The sequence below is a fragment of the Homo sapiens genome, chromosome 17 (assembly GCF_000001405.40).
Source record: "Homo sapiens chromosome 17, GRCh38.p14 Primary Assembly".
Classification (NCBI taxonomy): Eukaryota; Metazoa; Chordata; class Mammalia; order Primates; family Hominidae; genus Homo; species Homo sapiens.
In genome coordinates, this window is record NC_000017.11 from 33,398,199 (window position 1) to 33,419,705 (window position 21,507).

The following is a 21,507-nucleotide window of genomic DNA, read 5'->3' on the forward strand; positions in this document are numbered from 1 at the left end:
GAACAAAAGCTCCAAGAAGTTAAGAATCTTTTCTATTTTGTTCACTGATGTATCTCCAGCATTTAGAATGGGCCCCGGAATATAGCAGGTGCCCACTAAATACTTGTTGAGTGAATTAATAAATAAAAGAGCACGGGTTAACACAATGTAAGTTTCAGAAGCCACCCTGGATAAAGGGAGGAGATAACTTACAAAATTTCAAGCCCATGACTTTTGGAAACCTGTTGGAACCAAGACAGCATTGGGCCTCTTGGTGATGATGGTAGCAGTCATTGTGGTTATGATGCTGACGATAATAGTAAAGGTGATTATGTGGTGATGGTAGTGATGGTGATGGTTATAATAATGATGATGGGGATGATGGCAGTGATGATAGTGATGGTGGTGGTGATGATGATGATGATGATGGTGATTATGGTGATGATGGTGTTGGTGATGATGAAGAGAGAATGAACTCCCTCACCCTTGAACCTCAGAGTCTATGGAGTTTTTTCACATCATTTTCACTTTGGTCTTCACAAAATCCTTCAGAGCTAGCAGCAGTCAACATGATTGCCACCTTTTTCAGAAACCACTAGGATTTAAAGTGATGAAGTGACTTGCCCGGGGCTACACAGCCATTGAAGACAGAACCAAGATGGCAACTCAAGTCTTATTGTCCAGAAGAAGCTACCATTTACTGATTTCCTCTTGTGTGCTAGGCATGCTGCAAAGGGCCTTGTTTTCCTCTTTTCTGGGAATTTGGGAGTCATAGACTGGGACATATCATCACAGATACCTTGGAAGTGATTTAGCTTCAGATAGTGATGCTGCCATTTTGTGGTGGCCATTTTCTACTCTGTATCCAGAGAAGCAGAGAAAAGAAGGCTGGAGGGAGAGAGAAGAATACCATATAGAGATGAGCAAAGAGGAAGGATCAGATGGTCCCAGGGAAAGAAATATGGGGTTGGAGGTGCTGTGGTTTCTGATGCTTTCCTGGGCCTTGAGTTCTGTCCTTCATGAGGCCCTTCTTTCTCTACTGCCCCTGGGCTCTACTTATAAATCCAACTTCACCCAAGATGGCATTACAAGGAATATGTTCACTTCAAACAAAGGATCTCTGACAACCTGTTTGCTTAGCCCTTAAGAAATCAACCAGACAAGACTCCTTTGCTGGAGGATAGCCAAAGGCACACTGGGGTGAGGGACGATCAGGAGGAGGGCTTGTCCTTGCAATTCCCAGTGATTACATCCCCCTTCCCCCTCTGTCTCCCTCTTCTACACTCTCTCCTGACCCAGACCAACCCACTCTTCATCCTTGGGTGGTGTTGGGAACAACAACAAAAAATCTCCGATGAACCATCTAAATCCCAGTATGGCCTGTTCCCCACAGCATGCTGGCCACCATATGCAGGCATAGTGTCCAGACCTCATCAGTCACTATGAATCAGCTTCTGCTTTCAGTGTGGTCACAGTTTTGTGATGCCCCTTCCCCTTAATCTCATCATAAGCATCCTTTTCCCAGCCTCCTGGCATTTCTGATGGGAGAGAAAGCCACAGGCAGAAAGCCTTGCCCAAGAGTTAGCTCTCCTAAAAGGAGCGTGTGTGTGTTTGTGTGTGTGTGCACCATGGTAGTGGTGGGCAGGACCACACCGTCTCTGGGTTCAGTGTGGCCACCATTCCACCCTACATAGCACTTAAAACCTCATTTCTTTGGGGAATAGAAAAGTGAACTCTGCAGACAAGCCTGGGACCCTATCTGTCTCATTAGTTAACTTCCCAAGAAATTTCTCTGAGAAGGTAACAAAATAAGCAGACCTGGGTTACCATAGAGACCTGTCTGCACAGGTCTGGGCCAGATGTCTGTTCTGGACCATACATTATTAATTTCTTCCTTGCCAGTGAGGAGGCTGGTCTGGGTTAAAACTGCAAACCACTAAATTTGGTTTCCCCACCAATTTCTCTCTTTTCTCCTCAAACTGCAAAGTCATCTTGAGGTAGGATATATGGAAGGGACCTGTGAGATGGGGGACAACTGATTGGCTGAGGTTCTCTGTGTGTGAGGTGCCAGACTCCATGCTCCACCTATGTGTCCTTGTTGAAGATCTCATTATAAGGAAGAAGCAGTGCTCAGGGAATCTGTCAGGGTCTAAAATTTCAACAATGTGGACTGTCTTCAGACCAGTCTTCTGGTATGGGAAGACCAAGCAAAAAGAAGTGAGCTTAGAGGACAGTAGAAATGAGTTTGAGGGGAAGGAGCTAAAGAGAAATGTGGAGGGTGAATGTTGGCTGGAGTAGATTTGTGTCATTTGTGAGTGTTGATGACCTCTCCGACTCTACTCCCTTCTTGAAGTATACCTGATAATAGGGAGATTTATGAGCCAGAAATCTCTCTTTTGGGAAAAACTGGAGCTTCTATTCTGAGAGCTGAAAAGGATCTAGCATCTTCTTAGAACCATGCAAGCAGCATACAATCAGGACTTAAAAAAAGATCATTTATTACCATTTGATTCCATTCCAAGGCCTATTCTATGCAAACCACTGTCCAGGGGCTGAGAATTCAAGTTGTTCATATCTTCCCTTTCACCTGTCCTCACTGTTGACTCTTTCTGGTTCCTACCTGCCCCCTATCCCTGCCACCCCTGCCACCCCTGCCAGCCTCTCTATTACAAACAGGCATCTCTGTTTTCAAACTGCCTATAGGTTGAGTTGTGATGGTTTGGCAACAGTTTGGTGACAAACACTTCCAAAATCTCAGTGGATTCTCAGTGGATTAAAACAACACAGATTTATTTCTCACACTGCACCTCTAAAGCAGGTCACTGGAGAGATGCCATATCGTCGTCACTCAGGGGCCCAGGCTGACAGAGAGTTGGCCATGTGAATGACATCGCCGTCTCAACACTCTAACAGAGGAGAACACAAGGGGAATCACATGCCAGCCTTGAAGTGCTTCCATCCGGGAGAGCCACCTGTCACTTCCACTCTTATTTAACTGGCCAAAGGAAGTCACACAGACATGCCTAACTCCATAAGGCTAAAAAAGCATAATCTTCCCTTGTGTTGGAAGAAGAGAACCAGAACTACTGGTAAGCACTACCAATGTGTGCTTCGCCATCTGTAATCTACCTCCCTAATTCCTTTCTCCCCCTCTTCCCTCTCTGATCATCAATCTGAACTCCATTCCTTGATCCCTTGCCATTGTAGTGTTAACCTCTTCCATCCCTTCCTTTGCCTCCATGCCCTTCTCCCTAACTCTGCCACCTGCTGGCTCCCCTCCTGCCCTCCTTTGTCTGTTTTCCACCCAGCCCCTGATGGTCATGCCTCCATCGCTTGGCTGCACTGGATAGATGTGATGGAATACAACCTCAGCTCTAACTCTGCAAGTTTCTCTTGCCCCTAATTGAGCTTAATGATTTATGTCTTGTAATGGACACAAATGGGCAAGAATTCCTGGATCTCATTAATAATTTTAAGTATGCCAGAAGTAGGATTTTAAATCCTAAGCAAAAATTAAATGACCATAAAATCTTTGTTCGCTTCCCAGGAGACAATCCTGTTTCAACTTGACAGCTTAATTAAATGCTGGGTAAATTGGACACAACACTTAATAAACAGGACTTGGCAGGCCTGGAAAGGAGAGAGCAGAGAGGTGAGGATGGGAGAAAATGAAGCTCACAAAGTAACAAAAGGAAATTAAGTTATGCGAGGTCTCTCTCCCATAGTGTGACCTTTCTGGGAGCTTCAGATATGTTTAAATGACACGAATGACCCAGAAGATTGTGAAAGAATTGATTCTCTTCTTTGACTCCAATTCCCTCCATGGCCATATTGTTCCACAAGGCAAGAAAGCTGTTGTCCAGAAATATTCTTGGAGGTCTTTGCAAGATCTCCTTTGGATGTTTGACTCCTCCTGGACCAAGTTTCTTGCAAGCCTCAAGCCCACTGGGAAAGCTGCTGGTAGGCTGGAGCTGAGGGGTTAGATCTGAGGGGCCACACTGCATGGAGGGCTCCATGCACAGGCTCATATCTTAGTCTTCATATTTTCTTCTACTTTATGGTCTTGCCTTATCCTGGATAAGGCTTTTTGATCATGACTTTGTTTATTTTATTTTATTTTTTTAAGTTCCAAGGTGCCTGTGCAGGATGTGAAGGTTTTTTACATAGGTAAACATGTGCCATGGTGGTTTGCTGCACCTATCAACCCACCACCTAGGTATTAAGCCCAGCATCCATTAGCTCTTTTCCCTAATGCTCTTCCTGCCACTGTCCCTCAACATGCCCTAGTGTGTATTGTTCCCCTCCTTGTGTCCATGTGTTCTCATTGTTCAGCTTTCACTTAAAGTGAGAATATGTGGTGTTTTGTTTTCTGTTCCTGTGTTAGTTTGCTGAGGATAATGGCTTCCAGCTTCATCCATGTCCCTGAAAAGGACATGATCTCACTCCTTTTTATGGCTGTATGGTATTCCATGGTGTATATGTACCACATTGTCTTTATCTAGTCTATCATTGATGGGCTTTTGAGTTGATTCCCTGTCTTTGCTATTGTGACTAGTGTTGCAGTGAACATACGCGTGTACGTATCTTTATAATAGAATGATTTATATTCCTTTGGGTATATACTCAGAAATGGGATTGCTGCATCAAATGGCATTTCCAGTTCTAAATCTTTGAGGAATCACCACAGTGTCTTCACTGATCATTAGAGAAATGCAAATCAAAATCACAGTGAGATACCATCTCATGCCAGTCAGAATGGTGATGATTAAGAAGTCAAGAAACAGCAGATGCTGCTGAGATTGTGGAGAAATAGGAACGCTTTTATACTGTTGGTGGGATCAATCGTGACTTTGTATGGTCAAAATATTTCCATCTCTACTAATAATCAGATTCTTTAGATTCTGCTGCCTCTACCATAAACATATGCTCAGCCTGGGTCCTGGCTGCACACCTCCATTGCTAGTGACCATGCAGGGCTCACCAAGAGTTCATGAGTGCACTCGGGCAGAGCCTGTGAGAGCCTTTGGTTACTATTCTCTTTAGCATCTTTAGCAGAATACAGGTGTCTCATCATATAAATACACTCACAATATATTAATAGAATTTGAAGATTTAGAGGTGGGCACACAGCTTCTACCTCCACTTCCTTCTTCCCTTCTGCCTTCTCCTCAGTCAGAATTACTTTCCCATTAACATTTGGGAAGATCATATCTCTTCTCCATCAGTTGTCTAGCTGGGTTGAGCTTATCTTGCATTTGAAGTAATTTACTTATGGGCAGCTGCCACATGCTGCTTTAGTTAAATTAAGACTGTCTATCTTACTTGCACAGAAAAAATGTTTTAAACAAATCAAGAGATTAAAATGTGTTTAAAAGTATTTTATTCTTCAGTGAAAAGCCTTGTTTGGTGGAATTGGCTACAAGCCCCTGAGTAAGTGAAAATAATCGCTCAGACAGGTGTGGGATTTGCTGTACTTAGTACAAGAAACAAACCTTCCTTCATCATCAGGGAAGAAACCAGCCTTCCTCATCAAGTAACCAACCTCCATCATCATTTGACATTACCCTTTTACTTCTATTAAAGAATCTTGTAAACCTAAAGCTAGCAGAAACCTTGGCAATCATCTGGGTGAACAGTTTACAGGTGAAGAAGCCAAGCTCCAGAGAGAGGAAATGACTTTTCCAAGCCCCACAGTGAATTGCAGCTGGGACATCAGAAAGATGGCTTCATGAGTCAGTGAATGATAGTAACTTACAGAGAGACCCATGGACTTGTTAATAGTGGCTACCGGGATTTCTAGCTTAGTGCAATGCTTAACTTTTGTGAAGTCACCTGCTACATGAAAACAAGTTTCATTTCTTTTGCACTGACTTCCATAAAACATAGAGAGATATTCGTGTTTAAAAGACCTCAGCAGCTTGAGTTGCCAAGTTTGGGAAAGGAAAGGTTCAAATGATAGAGTAAAAGACTAGGCATGCTTAGTGGTTGCTAGAACTGGAGGTGGGGACTAGGAGTGACTGCAAATTAATGAACATGGGATTTGTTTCTGGGGTGACGGAAATGTGCTAATTGATTATGGTGATGATTGCACAACTCTGTAAGTTTACTAAAAATTGTTGAATTGCACACTTGAGTGAATTTTGTAGTATGTAAATTGTATCTCAATAAAGCCGTCCAAAAAACAAACAAACAAATGAAAACAAAGTAATGCAAAATAAATACAAGACTAAGAGCCAGGGCTCAGACAACACTTTCAGGACAAGAGCAAGGTAGAGGATCAATCCTAGGCCTCCAGATTAGTTTGCTTTTAGCCTCTCAAAGGCTGTCTACTTCTGGACAGAGGAGCAACATCTGAAGCAGATGGCTCAACTTCCAATCAGTTGCACTCCAGACCCTTGCCTAAGAGCTCAGTTTTGACCTGACAGCTCATCAGCTCCTGTCAAATGCATGTTGAGTTGAGCGACATTAAGAGGGACAACATATGCATCCTGTTACCATGCACTCTTCTGGGCTGTGGAAATCCCAGAGAGCAGAATGTTTGCACTTCTTTAGCCTAGATACACAAAGAAATATTTTGCCACTGTCACTATATTATTGTTTCAGTTTTATCAAAGTTCAATGAATGAAATGACCATATAAAGATGATATAGGTATTTCTGGCTATTATATTACCCATTATATTACTACTTGATGTCTTTTCCATGTGACCCAATATAGCAAGTACCCTATAGAATTTAGTACCAAGAAAAAATGTTCTGTCCTAAAAAACTTGAATGACTTATTTGATAAGCAGTGGGAGCTACTGAACCCAGGTGGCTTATTTTTTTTTTTTTCTTTTTTGTCTTGAACGCCAGGACACTCTGGGCTAATGTTAGAGTAGGGGGACAGGCATGTGCTTGTCTCTGATACAACTGTTTTCCATGCTCTCTGCTCAGCTGCATGCCTCTCTGTCACATTCATTCATTCAATTATCAAATGTTTCTCAAGGGCATCATATCTCCAGAGTTGGAATGATGAATAAGACCTGGTCTTTGCCCCCATGGAGGAGGCAGATATGGGAATCATTGCAAATAGAATTGCATGGTAGGGGGCTGCTTTGGATGTTATGGGATTAGAAAAAAGGGACAATAGGAATAGAAAAATGGGGTACAACTTTCCAAAGTAGTGTATTAACTATTTTTTCTTACTTTCTGTATTATTGATGCTCTGGCATTTGTGACCTCACTAACTGGAGAGAGATCACCCCTCCCAGGACTAGCCAATTCTTAGAGATAGCACTCCTTTCTTTCTTTCTTTTTCTTTTTTCTTTCTTTTTTTTTTTTTTGAGATGGAGTCTTGCTCTGTTGCCCAGGCTGCAGAGCAGTGGCGCGATCTTGGCTCACTGCAACCTCTGCCTCCTGGGTTCAAGCAATTCTCCCGCCTCAGCCTCCTGAGTAGCTGGGATTACAGGCGCCCGCCACCACACCCAGCTAATTTTTGTATTTTTAGTAGAGACGGGGTTTCAACATGTTGGTCAGGCTGGTCTCGAACCCCTGACCTGGTGATCCACCCGCCTTGGCCTCCCAAAGTGCTGGGATTACAGGCTTGAGCCACCACACCGGGCCAAGACAGCACTCCTTTCATATGTAAACTAACCAGTTCAGAGCCCATACCCTGAACCATCTTCTGTTTCTGGCTCTTACACCCCAGGAGACAATATTCCTCCACTCCAATCACCCAGGGGCCAGGTACCAGACAGTTAGAGACGACCCTGCCAGCCCGAGCCTGCGAGCATTATTTACACTAGCCAATCACAAACTTTCCCCTGCCCTGCCTTTCCCATGGAAAATGCAAAACAGGCTCTTTCCATGAAAAAAAACCTGGGCCAGGCTTTGCCCTGGCTCCTTCTGCCTCCTGACCCAACCTGGTGTTTTCCACTCTGGCTCTGGTGTGCCCCTTCCTCTTGGGAAATGTAAGTAATAAAAATATTTCAATGTCATTGGCCTCTCTGTGTCATAAAATCTGTGAGTATAATTGATATAGGTAAAGCTTGATGAGCAATTGGGAATTTTTCAGGGGTAAGAATATTCCAGAAGCAGAGCTCACTTATGCATCAGCCCACAGACTTGATATGAGAACATTAAGGTGCTGTGTCTGATGCACATTTTCAGCTCTTTCAAGGCAGTCTGCGAACATTCCTCTTTCAATGTGGACGGGGCATAAATTATAAATAATGATGGGTGGGCCAAGTCTTATTTGTACAAGACTGAGTTTTCCTCAAGGTTCTGATTGCTCTTTCTTTTGTTCTGTCAAACGCAGAACACAGAACACAGCACTGTGCAGAGCTGGAATCCCAGCTTGCTCTCTTATTAGCTGTGTGTCCCTGTACAAGTTTTTAAGCTTTCTGTGTTTCTGTTTCCTTGATTATAAGATGAGAATAACACCAGTAGCCTCCTCAGAGAGCTGCCATGAGGATTAAATAGATTAAAATGTGTAAAACATTTAGAACAGTGGCCAGCAGATGGTAAGGGCTATGCAAGCATTTGCTAAATTATGTTCTGAATCCTGCAATGTGAGGAGTACTTATTAAGACCATGGAATCCATAAAGATGTGGAAGGTATATTCCTACCCCTAAAGAGTTTACAAGTATAATGAGAGCCTAGAGAATTCTGGAAAATCAAAGGACTGTTCAGGAAACTGTATTTGCAGAAGATGTTGAAAATGATGAAAGTTATAATAGACTAATGTTTTGGCCTTTCTCCAGTCTCAAATAGAGAAGGAAGTAGAGAAAGTGAAACATTGTGGAAAGAATGCCAGATTCTGAGTCTGAAAGACTTGAGTTCAAGGTCAAGGAAAGCTGGCTTCCTAGAGCTACCATTTTCTAGCCATGTAATTTAGTTATTTAGTTTCTCTGAGTCTTAATTTTTTTCACTTGTATAATGTAGATAATATTATCTACTTTAGCAGGTGGGAGGAAAAGAGATAATGATAGCAATAGCTGACATTTATTGGGCATTCGCCAATGTGTTGGGAATTGAACTAAGAGTTCTCTAAGAAAATCATCTTGGAGAAAAGGACAATGTCTCAGTGCCCAAGGTCCCTCAATAATAACTGGCTGATCTGGGATTTGAACTCAGACACTTTGATTCCAGGGTTTGTTCTAATAACCATTATTTTACACTAAATCTCTCAGAACTGTACTAGAGCCAGCAGGCACTCATATAATAACAACCATTGTTATTAACTGTGTAGTATCTTTGATCCATTCGGCTAATGCCTCTTGATCACTTTAAGACTCCCTTCAAGTGCTATATTTTCTTCCCATCCCCAGAACCATCCTCCTGATACTCCCATAATGCATCACTCAGGGCAAGTATGGGCCTAATTCTCTAAAATTCTCAACTTTATATTTTCTTCAAGTGATAGAGAAAAGAGGAAAAGTTCTATAGGATCCCAGGTACATTAATAAAAATTTAATAAAATAAAGTTAGTAATGAAACAGTCTGATTAGAGAAATAATTTGAGCTTCAGGCCTTTGCAGATGGGGAAAATTAGATTGGATAAATGATTTACTCTAAATAGATTTAATGCAAAAACATTAGGACCTGCAAGACAAGCAAGCCCAAGGAATTCTGGGAACCAGGTTGGGATTGGCTTGGCTTGGTAGCAACCCTATAGTCTCTAGCCAGGTCAACTTAGGTATTGGATCAAATGCCAGGCCAGGACAGGGAGTGTATTGGCTGGCAACCCAGCCAATGAGAAGTGCCTAATGGCTTCCAAATGTCAGCATGATGATGTCACTTCCAAATCCTTCCTGTTCATGGTGGGGAGGCATTTGGGGCCACCAAGACCACACCAGTTCCAAATCTGTGGCTTCCCTGCCCTTTAGAAGAAGTGTGCCACATGTACCCGACAGCCTTGGGGAATGACTTCTCATGAGTTTCCTTTCTTGCTCAGATCCTGGGCAGAGTTTGACATGCAGGAGATGCTGGTGGGACCTATGCACATTAATCAATTTGGCTGAATTATCTGTAAAAAAGAGAGAAACTAGCTTAATTCAATAACCAACGTTTGTTGCATTTTGTGGCTTTCCTTTTCTGTTCTGATTTTCACTCCCCAACAAATGTCATGTCCATGTGCTGCAGTGGTGAGAACACCAGGAACAGGAAGACTTGGTTCTGTCTCTTCCATGCTGGGCTATGGTTGTAGGTGAAGGGTAGTGGGGAGGGCAGGATACTTCAGTACAATGTAGTGAAAAGAGGCCAGACGTGGGTGTGAATATGTATCCGGTACTTAGCTATGTGAGCTCAGTTTGTGCATCTTTAAAACACAGGATAAACATTAACTTAAAAATACAAGGCATATGTAAAATGATGCTATAGTAGGTAACTCAATTTTTAAAAAGTTATTCAGTATTTATTAGATGCTTGACAACACACACAATAACTATCCTCCCTTTTCTCCCCTTTCTCCACTGAGTAATAACGCCTTTATCCTCCACTCCCTGGATGAAAATTCATGATAAACAAATGAACAAACAAACAGTAGATTTGGAGAAGAGGTCCAGAAACCACAGAGCACCAATCTGATCTTTGCAAAACAATCAAGAATACCTTGATGTCTCGGGTAAGGCAGTGGAGTGGAAAAGCTACACAAGTGGGGAACGAGGGGAGCCACAGAGTGAGGGATGAGAGAGGACAGGGTAAATAAATGCTCAAGCAATGCTCAGAGAGCCCAGGGAAGAGGGTGTGTACAGACAGAATATTCCAGTCCTGGCTGGGCGTGATGGCCCATGCCTGTAATCCCAGACCCTTGGGGGGCTGAGGTGGGTGGATCGTTTGAGCTCAGGAGTTCGAGACCAGCCTGGCTAACATGGAGAAACTCTGTCTCTACCAAAAATACAAAAAATTAGCCAGAAGTGGTGGTGTGCGCATGTAGTCCCAGTTGCTAAGGAGGCTGAGGTGGGAGAATTTATTGAGCCTGGGAGGCAGAGGTTGTAGTGAGCCGAAATCATGCCACTGCACTCCAGCCTGGGTGACAGAGTGAGACTCTGTCTAAAAAATAATTTTTTTAAAAAAAAGTTCCACTCCTGCATTTCCTCCAGAGGTCATCAACTCCAATATTCAAGGCATGAGTTCCCAAAGTGAGGTGAGAGGCATCTGCAGTGGGGCATCAGCACAGAAACTGGAGTGACCTTCAAAGAGCCAGGTGCTCTATGTAGAGCCCTTCCTTCCCAACTTTGGGAGAGACTAGGGATCAGACTTAACACCTTGTCTGAGAAAACTCCAAGGGTAGCCCTACAATAACCCTAACACTAATGTTAGGAGTTTGGCCAGAACTGGAGAGAATGATAGAGATGCGTGAAGTTGGCATCAGCCTTGTCTCAGTCATGGTCACTGTACTCCTATTCTCTTATTCCCTCACCCCTCCACCACCAATTAATTCATCCAGATCAAATAGAATCGTGGTTAGGAGAGGAGCGTTTGCAGCAGGCAGCAGTATCTTCTGAAGTTCTGGTAAAGGAGAGTCTTGCGGAGGAGGAGGCCGAGGGAGCTGGACCATTTGTCTTATGTGTGGGGGAGGGGTATGAATACAGCTAGAATAGAGCCTCAGAAATGAATTTGAGCCTGGCTTTAGGAACAACTGATCCTCCAGGACCCCAGCCCAGTTTGGGCGGCCTCTTGGCCAAGTTTTGTTCTATTCTAGCACTGTTTGGCTTGATTCAGCCCACCCCCAGTTTCCACTTGTCCAAATCTGCCCAGTTGATCCAGCTCAGGCCAACATACACCAGTACAAACCAGCTCAGGGCAGCTCATTCTGGACCCCTCAGCAGGACCGTGTCTGTTCCATTCAGTTACAGTGGCTTTAGACTTACAGTTCACACCATTGAGGATGTATGGAAATTGGCAGATGGTCAGCCTAGGAGCCAGCTTCAAAGATGATGATGTGATATGTTGTAGCCACCTGAGACAGGTAGCAATGAGGCTCTAATCGCTGACTCTTCTAAGCCTGGCCACTCTGGATATCTTCTTACCAGATACCATTTCCAGCAACAGTGGGCAAAATGATGAGGGGCCACAGCACCCAGAAATCACAGCCCCGGAACATGCTGCTCTGAATAAAAAATGTGTGTTTTGTGCTGAATTGGACACCCTCTTATAGTAGACTCTCATCTAGATGAGTAAGGGGTACTAAGGGTTTAGAAACGTACATGAGAGAAGAACATATCAATTGCAAGAAACCTATCTTTAGCTTATTATTTCTCTCTTTGAATTGGGAAAAAAATTAATAATCCAGCTTAGGTCAAAAACATATCCTTCTGCAGATCAGGGCTTGAGAACTACTGCTTCTGGAGGGACTCAAGCCCCCTCGGTAAGCTGCCCTCAGCCCCATGCCTGTGGCTCGTCTCCAGCCTCCCAGCCCATCCCATCAGATCAGGCTGTAGTCTCAGTGCTTGTCCTTGCCATGAGGCCCTCGTGCCCATTCTTCTCCCCATCTGCTGCCTCCTTTCTGTTAGTCTTGGACTCTTGTATTCGTCAAGGCCCTTCCCTAAGTTGGGTGCCCTCAAGTCACTCCTCTCTTCATCCATGACTGTTGTACTGTATCATCTTTGTGAGACAGGCAAAGTTGTCCAGCATAGTACCTTTTCCTCTGTAGCTCTTTGTGGGATGGGGATGGTTTTGTAAACTCTGCAAGAGCAGATGTTTGTATCCAGCTGGAGATGTCTAGGATTGAAGTGGATGCCAGTAGACGCTTATTGGAACTGTGTCTGGCACATAGAAGACAGCATAACATATTTGTCAGATGAATGGATGTGTAGTGAGTAAATGAGAGAACAGGAGATTGAATAAATGAATGAAGGATAAGCCAATGAATGCAAAAGAAAGTGAAAGCATGACTAGGAAATGGTGAAAGAATATGTGAATTATGAGTGAATGAATGAATGGCCATGATGCATGAATGGCCACAGTCAAGTTGATGCTACAGACCACAATAAACATAGGCTGCTACTCCAGGCTGGCCAACTCTGTCTGAGCTAGTGTGTGTGGTCTTCCTGGCAGCCCTCCTCAGAATCCTCATTAGAATAACAATTTTCTACCCTATTGTTTTGAGTTTGGATTATATGGTTGTTACCATTTGTCCTCCAGTGATTAGAAAAACTTTGAGATGGTTAAAAAAAAGAAAAAGAGCTTCTCCATTTGTGAACCCCCAAATGAATATCATTGCAACTCAGGCCAGATTTCCAGAACTGGACTGTCATTATGTCAATCTGATGTTAATTTAAATGGTAATTGGATGAGAGTTTTCAAACAGCCTCCCTTACTGGGCAAGTGAGCCTTCCTGCTGGGCTGATTTTGGAGGAAGAGAAGCTGGCAAGGAAGGGAAAGGAAGGTATTATGGATTCTTTTAGGCCTGGAGTGCACCCATTCATCTATCTGCTCCAGTGGGGGTACAGATAGCAGTTTGATATTGTAGTTTTATTCCAATTCAGTGGTTTAAGAACCAGAGGGGCAATAGGAAGAAAAAAATGAAGTCTTGGCATTTACAGAGTCAGGCTTAAGGACCAGCTTTACCATTGACTGACTGTGTGATTATGAACAAGTGACTGAGCGAGGTATCTTTGGCCAGACCATGATGAGTCTCAGCTTCCTCATTGTGAAATTGGATAATCACGTCCACTTTACATTGCAGCATCACTGTGAGGGTCAAATGAGATAAAAGTGACATGGCTTCACCAACTTTAGGGTGTCATAAATAAAAGAGATCGCAATCTTATGAGTAGCCATCCGAAAATATTTGGTTAGGGTTTGAACAAATCTGTGAGTGCTATGGTTTGAGTGAAAGCTCAAGAAAAATGCAAACAAAACAAAACAAAACAAAACAAAACACAACCAAAAACACACAAAAAACAAAAACCTTGAAGCTACATCATTTGGGCACTGGCTCCTCCTGCTTATTATTTTTGATTTGTTCAATCTGAGCCTTCGTTGGGCCAGTTTTCATCGCTCCTTGATCCTATTGCTTTTTCTCAAGCTAAAAAGAAAGGAGAGAAGAGTTTATTGTATGACTGCCCAGCACAACTGTCTAGCAGCTCAGGCCCTATCATCTTTGTACCAACCCACGTGGTTCTTAGAATGCTGTTGATCACCAGGATGTCATGAATTATGATGGTTCCTGTTCTGCCTTCATGTGGTTCATGGTAACTGCAGAGGGGTAGAGAGGGGGTGCTGACTTACTGTGAGACTTCATGGGTGAGGCACTGGGCTAAGCATTTCACACGTGTGGCCTCCTGTCCTCCCTATGCAACAGTCCTTGAGGTCCACATTAATCTTCCCTTGCAGAGAGGAAGGCTCAGAGAAGTCAAATAATTTGCCCAAGATCAGACAGAGAAGGAGAGGCACAGTCAGAATTAAAATCCTGGTCTTGCTGAGGCAAAACTATGAAATAGTCATGATGAGGCAAATGTTCTCTGTTTTTTCTGTGGCCTTTGGGCTGGATATATGCCTATCTTGGGTTGAGTGGATAAACATAGGCATAGAGGAAGGCTGCCTGGATCATCTTTCCTGCTTCTGAGAGTGTGAGAGGAGCAATGAGAAGTGGGAGAGACGTTGGTGCCCTATGATAGGTCCAAGGCCAGAGAGATAAAAGGAATTGTGAATTTGCACGCAAAGAAGGAGCTCTGTGCAACTAGCAGTAGGTCAGGAACTGGAGCTGTGAGAGGAGCCGGGGTCTGGTTTAGCTAATGGCTAAACCAGATGAGAAGAGCGTGCAAGGAACCCCCCACCTGCTGCCCACAGCAAAGCTAAGGTGCTATGGACAAGCCGCTCTGTGCTCTTACTTGTTCCCAATGAGGGGCTACTGTCTCTGTGCCTTAAAGGCACTTGGCTTCTGAGGACTGAGGCTGATGAGCAGGGTTCTCCAGAGATGGGGGCATAGGGGGTGCCATTGAGGAGCATCACGCTTTCCCCCGAGATGTGTTTCCAAGGTTCTTGGGGTCAAGTGAAGTGTGACACAGCCCCCAAATCAGGAGCTCTGACTCAGGGATAAGGTCTTAAGTGTTCTCATCCGAGACTTGAAAGCCTCAGCAGGGAATTAGCAAATTCATTCATTAATGGCCCATTGACATTTCTATTATAAAGACTAATCATTTGTTTTTATTGAGAGCTTTTTCCTTGATTAAAGCCATTAGCACCAATGAGTAACCATCAATCAATCAACAAGCTTTCTTAAATGTCCCCAACTTGGTCCGATTGCAGCCTGAATACAGTCAATTTTACCTCCTAACTATCTCTCCAAGCTGCCCACTTCTCTCCCTCTCTGTTGCTGCCACTCTGGTCCAAGCCACTGCCGTTTCTCACCAGGACTACGCTGATAGCCTCCTGCCTGGCTCTCTTGGCCAACAAGGCCTCGCCTAGGCCCTTTTATTTTTCTCCCCAGCATCATATCCTGCCACGCCCATTCTCCCAGTAGCCTTTTGCATCTTCATACTGTCTACTCCTTTCTGCAGATTTTCACATGTTCAGCCTTGGCCCATCCTTTTCCCAGCCTTGGCTTCATTAGATCCCACTCACTCTTTAGCTCTCAGCTCAAATATTCTTTCTCAGAGAAAACTTCTATGACCCCCTGAGACTGGATCAGGCCCACCTGTGCCCTCTCTCTCCCAGCACTCTGCCTTGCTCCTTCTGGCACTGGCCCGGGTTATTTTAGGGGTTTGTTCATTTGATTCTTAGGTTTCTCCCTGGCATGCAAGCTCTGCAGGGGCAAAGAGCACTCTATTTTATCTTATCTTGGTTTTAGGGCCAGGACTTGGGGAAGGCAGGCAAGTTGCCTAAGGAGCATCATTTGAGGAGACCTTCACTCCCAGACATGGGCCCTGAGCTTGCAGTAGCCCGAGAGTAGGTCCTCCTTAAGTCTTGTTCCCGCAGCAGCCCAGTGGCCTACTCTTGTCCCACCCCTGCGAGGCTCTCCAACTTAAGACCAACACAAGGAAGGTACACGCCATAGGTACTTGTTGAGTGCATACATTGGAGGCAGGAAGATTAAGAAAAGGAGCTAGTCAGGAGGCTGCACCCAAAGAGGAGGGGAGAGTGGAAGAGGTTAGACCATGCAGGGATGGCGAGGAGGCTGGAGGGAGCAGTGCAGAGAGACTCCAGTAGGTAGAAAAGAGAGGATGCAGCGATGGTCTGGGTGTGGTGGAACGAGGAAGGGGATGTTCTAGGTTGGCAGGTTGGTAATGCCCATTGGCCAGGGGAGAAGGAAGTAGAGGGGAGGAGGACTGGAGCAGTGGGAGGATGAAGCTGAGCAGGCTATCTATTGGCTAGTTGGCTGGGCAGTTCTTCATTGTTCCTACCACGGCAGCCACCGACTGGGCTTTACCTGGACCTCTCTGGAGGGGGTCAAGGCCTGCCTTGGGGCTCTCCTCTTTCTCAGTTACCGCTAGGCTCATGTGCCCACTGAGGCCATTGGGAATCTGAGGGCAGGTGCTCCAGGGTTTTCCAGGACTCTGGGAGAGGGAGCAAATCCTGGTCCTTAACAAGGTCCATCTTCACTGAGAATGCTGAACACGTTTCATTTCTCTTTTAAATTTTAATTTGGTTCTGTCACTGAAATCACATTAGGCCCCACTCTGCTCTTCAAAATGACATCTTTTAATGTTCCCCAGATATGCAGATCAAACAGGTTCCAAAAAGCCTCTTCCTCTCCCCTGACCCCGCTTCTCCATGGCTCCTCTTCCTTCCTCTACTTTCTTCTAATCAGGACATGCAGTTTGGTTTCCCAACCAGGCTACTGCTAGTTCAGATACCCTCCTCACATGTTGGTGGGACTGACCATCTGACTGTGGTATTCAGATGTGCAGTCCAGGCACTGTCCTCATACTAGTGGAGGGCAGTCATACCACCCTGTGGGGACATGGATAGAATCTCAGCCTTCCCTTTGGCTGCACTGATTGACTCTGTGACTTTAGGCAAGTCACTTACCCTCTCTAAGTTTTGGTTAAAACATGACACTTGGACTAGAAGATTTGACAGCTTTCCCCTAGAGTCATCGCTTGGAATCTACACAGTATTGGCCCAGGACACCTCAGGGACATCAAAATCTGTCGATGCTCGAATCTAATATGGAATAACATTGTATTTTCATGTAACCTACACATATCCTCCCATATACTCTAAATTATCTCTAGATTGCTTATAATAACTAATACAATGGAAATGCTATGTAAATAGTTGTTATATTTTTTATTTGTATTGTTTTTATTGAGTTGTTATTTTTATTATTTTTGAATATTTTAATCTGAGGTTAGTTAATTATGTAGAACCCATGGGCATGTAGAGCCCATTGTATTTTCATTTGAGAGTCTTTGGATTTTTCTGAGAGAGAGAGAGAATTCATTTAGTTCAAGATGGTCCAAATCCCTCGCTGCCCACTGACTTCAAGCCTGCAGCAGCCAGTCAGTATGCTGGGAACATCCGGGGCCTCATATTACACACTGGAGCTAAACACAAGATGGGGATCAAGAAGGAGAGACAGAGAAAGAGAGAGAGCTGGAGGGGAGAGAGAGAGAGAGATTAAAAGAATAAGATAGCAGAGAGAGCAAAGTGGATGAAAGAGAAAGGATTCTGATCATGTTTTCTTTGTCCCCATGATGCTGAGATGCTGCAGTTAGACATCTTCTTGAGAATTGATTGAAAAACCCAGGATACTTGAGGAGAAGGCTGTACTCCTCTCTGTTCCGCCTGGAACCTGTGTGGGCCTGGCGGAGGCAGTGGCATTGAGCTGCATTCAATAAAGAAATTATTTCCATGGCGGTGTGAGGCCAGCTGCAGCCTATGCTCAGAGCAGGGAGTGGTAGTTCATGCCATTCTATCAGGCAGCACCTCTGGGCTCAGTGCTCATTTGCTGAAGTGTGTTGGGGGTGGTTCTGCCTTGCATTTGCTGTTAGCACATGAGAGTTGGCTGAGCCTGGCTCCCTGGTATCAGTCATGCACATGTTCTGAGATGTGACTATGCTGGAGGTCACTCACACACCCAATTCACACACCCATTTTATGAGGCCAGAATCAAGGCTGAAGCTAAAACCACATGGATTTGGAAATCTTAACAGAAGCACAATTCATTAATTTTATCATTGTCTTCCCTCACTGAACAAATTGACCAAGCTTGCACCATTCATCATGGCAGTTGACATCCACACTTCCTCTTTTTTCGATTTGCACTCCAGGGTCCTTGCCAGTGAATAACTAGCTCGTGGCATCACCAATCTTCTCTGCCTCCTCCCATGGGCCTTCCTCTTTGCTGACTGGTTACTGGTTTTAATTTTGAGGGTCTCATGATGCCTGGAGGGCAGTCCCTGATAGGAGTGGTGGGGGTAAAGAAGTAAGCCTGGGATGAGCTACTAACCAGGGCAGGTGCTTGTCTGTGCACCCACTGGGCGCCCACAGTGGCAGCTGAGGGAGGATGGGTGATGCCGTTGTGGGAAGATGGCAATGGCTTTTTAATAGCTGGGGGCACCCCTCATTCATCTGCACATGCTGAGTTTATTTTGCCATTTGTCAAATTCTGACTCTAGGGGACCTAGGTTTGGAGTGGTTCAGGCTTCAAGATTGATGACCCGAGTGGAATAACAAGTCCCCCTTCTCCTTTAAATAGGTGGCGCTGCCAAGAGGAAGCTCCATGGCCCGCTCATCTGTGAAAGGTCCATTTCTCTACCTCTGTAGAGGCTGGAGATGAAATATTTATTTGGGATCTCACCAATATGCCACAGCCTGCCTCCCTGCCCATGCTAGACAGTGAGAAAGCTTCTAAATGAGCATGAGGCTTAATGGCTTAACCCAGGTTCCACTTTGTTAAAGAGAGGAAAGGAAAAAAAAAAGGTTCCAGTCCTCCTCTATTTGGAGAATGGATATTCCTTGGGTAAAAGCAGCTCTTTACTGAGGCTCGTGTTCCTCTAGCTGCTGCAGACAGGCCTCGAACACACACAGACTCTAGTAGGACGCTGGAGGACTAGGGTGTTGAATGGAAGCAAGCCCAATTTTCTTAGGCAGGAAGGGACATTTCTTAGAATCTTTAATTCCCAGGGGTTATAAAATCTTAAAAATCCACCCAGTTCAAGCCCCTAATCCTTAAAACCCTGCCAGAACACGTCTGTCTATAATTGAATGCTTCCAGTGATGGCAAAATCAAGACTTCCTGAAGCAGATTATTCCTTATATGGAATAATCTATTGCAAGAATTTCTTAAATAGGATTGAAATCTGTCTGTCTGTAGCTTCTACCTACCCGGCCAAGACTACCCGGGAAACACACAGAATACATTCATTGCTCTTCTCCTTAATGCCTTTCGGTAAAAAGACAGTGATCTTGTCCTCTTTGAGGCTTCTTTCTTCCAAATCAAGTCCTCAGTGGGCTCTTTCATGCTAGGCACTGGGGATGTGAAAACAATGGTGTCCAGTGAGATATGAGGTCTGTGCCTCAGAAAACACACTTTCCTTTGCCATGCTGGTTGTTGAGGAGGACATCTGCCCATGCCTCTTCCAATGTTTCCGCCCCTCTGCACATTCCCCTCCTAACTCACCCCCAAGAGAGGACAGTTGCCACTTTATGATCCAGGACACTCACTGGGCCATGTTTTACTAACGAGGAAGTCCTCTGTGGGTGAAGAGTCCACAACATCTGTGTGATGTCCCCTTTGCTGTCTGGCTGCTGTGAAGTGAGGAGGCCAGGCAGGACTGGAGTCCTCAGGGAAGGCCCGACTAGGCTTTCTCTGTTCTACCCCTTCTGTGCTTGCAGCCCAGTCAACCCTATTTTGTTGACCCAGCTATCTTGGAATCGGGAGCCAGAGGCCCCACTCTGGCTCTCAGCATGTATGTATGTGTGTGTGTGTGTGTGTGTGTGTGTGTGTGTGTGTGTGTGTGTGTGTGCAGCCATGCTCCAGTGTGACTGTCAAGCACATTAAGGACTCATTCAGCTGTGAAAAGATATTCTTGTTTATCTTGCCAGTCATCTTTGGGAATAACTTCCTAGTTTGAAACTCCACAGTGCAGAGTAGATATTGAAGGGTAGGATTCAGGAATTTATGGGTTTATGACTTAATACCACCTGTGTAGCACCAAACCCCATCCTAATCTTCAGTTTCCCTGTGCCACTTGAAGTGTGACATGCAGAATTAAACGAAAACCTACCTTGAAAAATAAAGTTGTGCTCCCTGTTAAAAAAAAAATCCCATTTGTCAATTTTGGCTTTTGTTGCCATTGCTTTTGGTGTTTTAGTCGTGAAGTCTTTGCCCATGCCTATGTGCTGAATGGTATTGCCTAGGTTTTCTTCTAGGGTTTTTATGGTTTTAGGTCTTACGTTTAAGTCTTTAATCCATCTTGAGTTAATTTTTGTATAAGGTGTAAGGAAGGGACCCAGTTTCAGCTTTCTGCATATGGCTAGCCAGTTTTCCCAACACCATTTATTAAATAGGGAATCCTTTCCCCATTGCTTATTTTTGTCAGGTTTGTCAAAGATCAGATGGTTGTAGATGTGTAGTTATTTCTGAGGCCTCTGTTCTGTTCCATTGGTCTATATCTCTGTTTTGGTACCAGTACCATGCAGTTTTGATTACTGTAGCCATAAAAAAGGATGAGTTCGTGTCCTTTGCAGGGACCCGGATGAAGCTGGAAACCATCATTCTCAGTAAACTAACACAAGAACAGAAAACCAAACACCACATGTTCTCACTCATAAGTGGGAGTTGAATAATGAGAACACACGGACACGGGGGAGGGGAACATCACACACCGGGGCCTGTCAGGGGTGGGGGGCTGGGGGAGGGATAGCATTAGGAGAAATTCATAATGTAGATGATGGGCTGATGGGTGCAGCAAACCACCATGGCACGTATATACCTATGTAAGAAACCTGCATGTCCTACACATGTACCCCATAACTTAAAGTATGGTAATAAAAAAGAATCAGAGACATCAGAGAAAGAGGGAGCCCATGCCTTGTCTGGCAGAGACAGATGGGGAAGTGTTGTTGCACCCATTGGTGCCCCTCTTCCTTGCCCCAGAGGGAGCGGCTAAGGTGACTCATAAATGTGTGCTGGGTCTCCTCTCTATCTTGGCTGTTGATCTATGGGCAATGATGGGAAGCAGCTTAGAGAAAATGAACTGAATGTGTTTAAAGAAATAATGTCAAGAGGTACGCCCATTGAGGCTCATTTGAGGGATGAAGGATTTGACCAACCCCATTCCCAGGCGGCACAAAGCTTGTCAGTTCTGTGAATTTCTGGGAGTTTCTGGAACTATTGTTAATGTAATGACAGTGGCTTCTAATGCCAGAAAGGGTGAAAGTGAGCAATAGGTAAGAATGAAGAAGCAGATAAAGATTGCTGGATGGATACCAGCATTTCAGGTCTCTATGTGTTTGGCAGAAAATACAGCAATAGCTATTGAATTAAAAACGTATTACTCTTTGATCCAGCAATTCCTTTTTAAAGTATGTTTTTCACAGATATACTGGTACATGTGGGCAAATATGGATGTGCAGGGATAGTAATTGTAG

General features: G+C 44.4%; 1 protein-coding gene across 1 annotated transcript in view, besides 1 other annotated feature; it reads right to left on the reverse strand.

The window, feature by feature from the left end:
* ASIC2 (acid sensing ion channel subunit 2) overlaps positions 1-21,507 on the reverse strand; it is a 1,143,682-nt gene that overhangs the window by 385,112 nt on the left and 737,063 nt on the right. The gene's annotated exons all lie outside the window — the stretch shown is intronic.
* Positions 14,865-15,387: an enhancer, noted in NCBI's record as "NANOG hESC enhancer chr17:31740081-31740603 (GRCh37/hg19 assembly coordinates)". NCBI's record gives its function as "activates a minimal SCP1, AML or CMV promoter by ChIP-STARR-seq in primed H9 embryonic stem cells {active_cell/tissue: H9 hESC(primed)}" and the evidence as "EXISTENCE:reporter gene assay evidence [ECO:0000049][PMID:30033119]".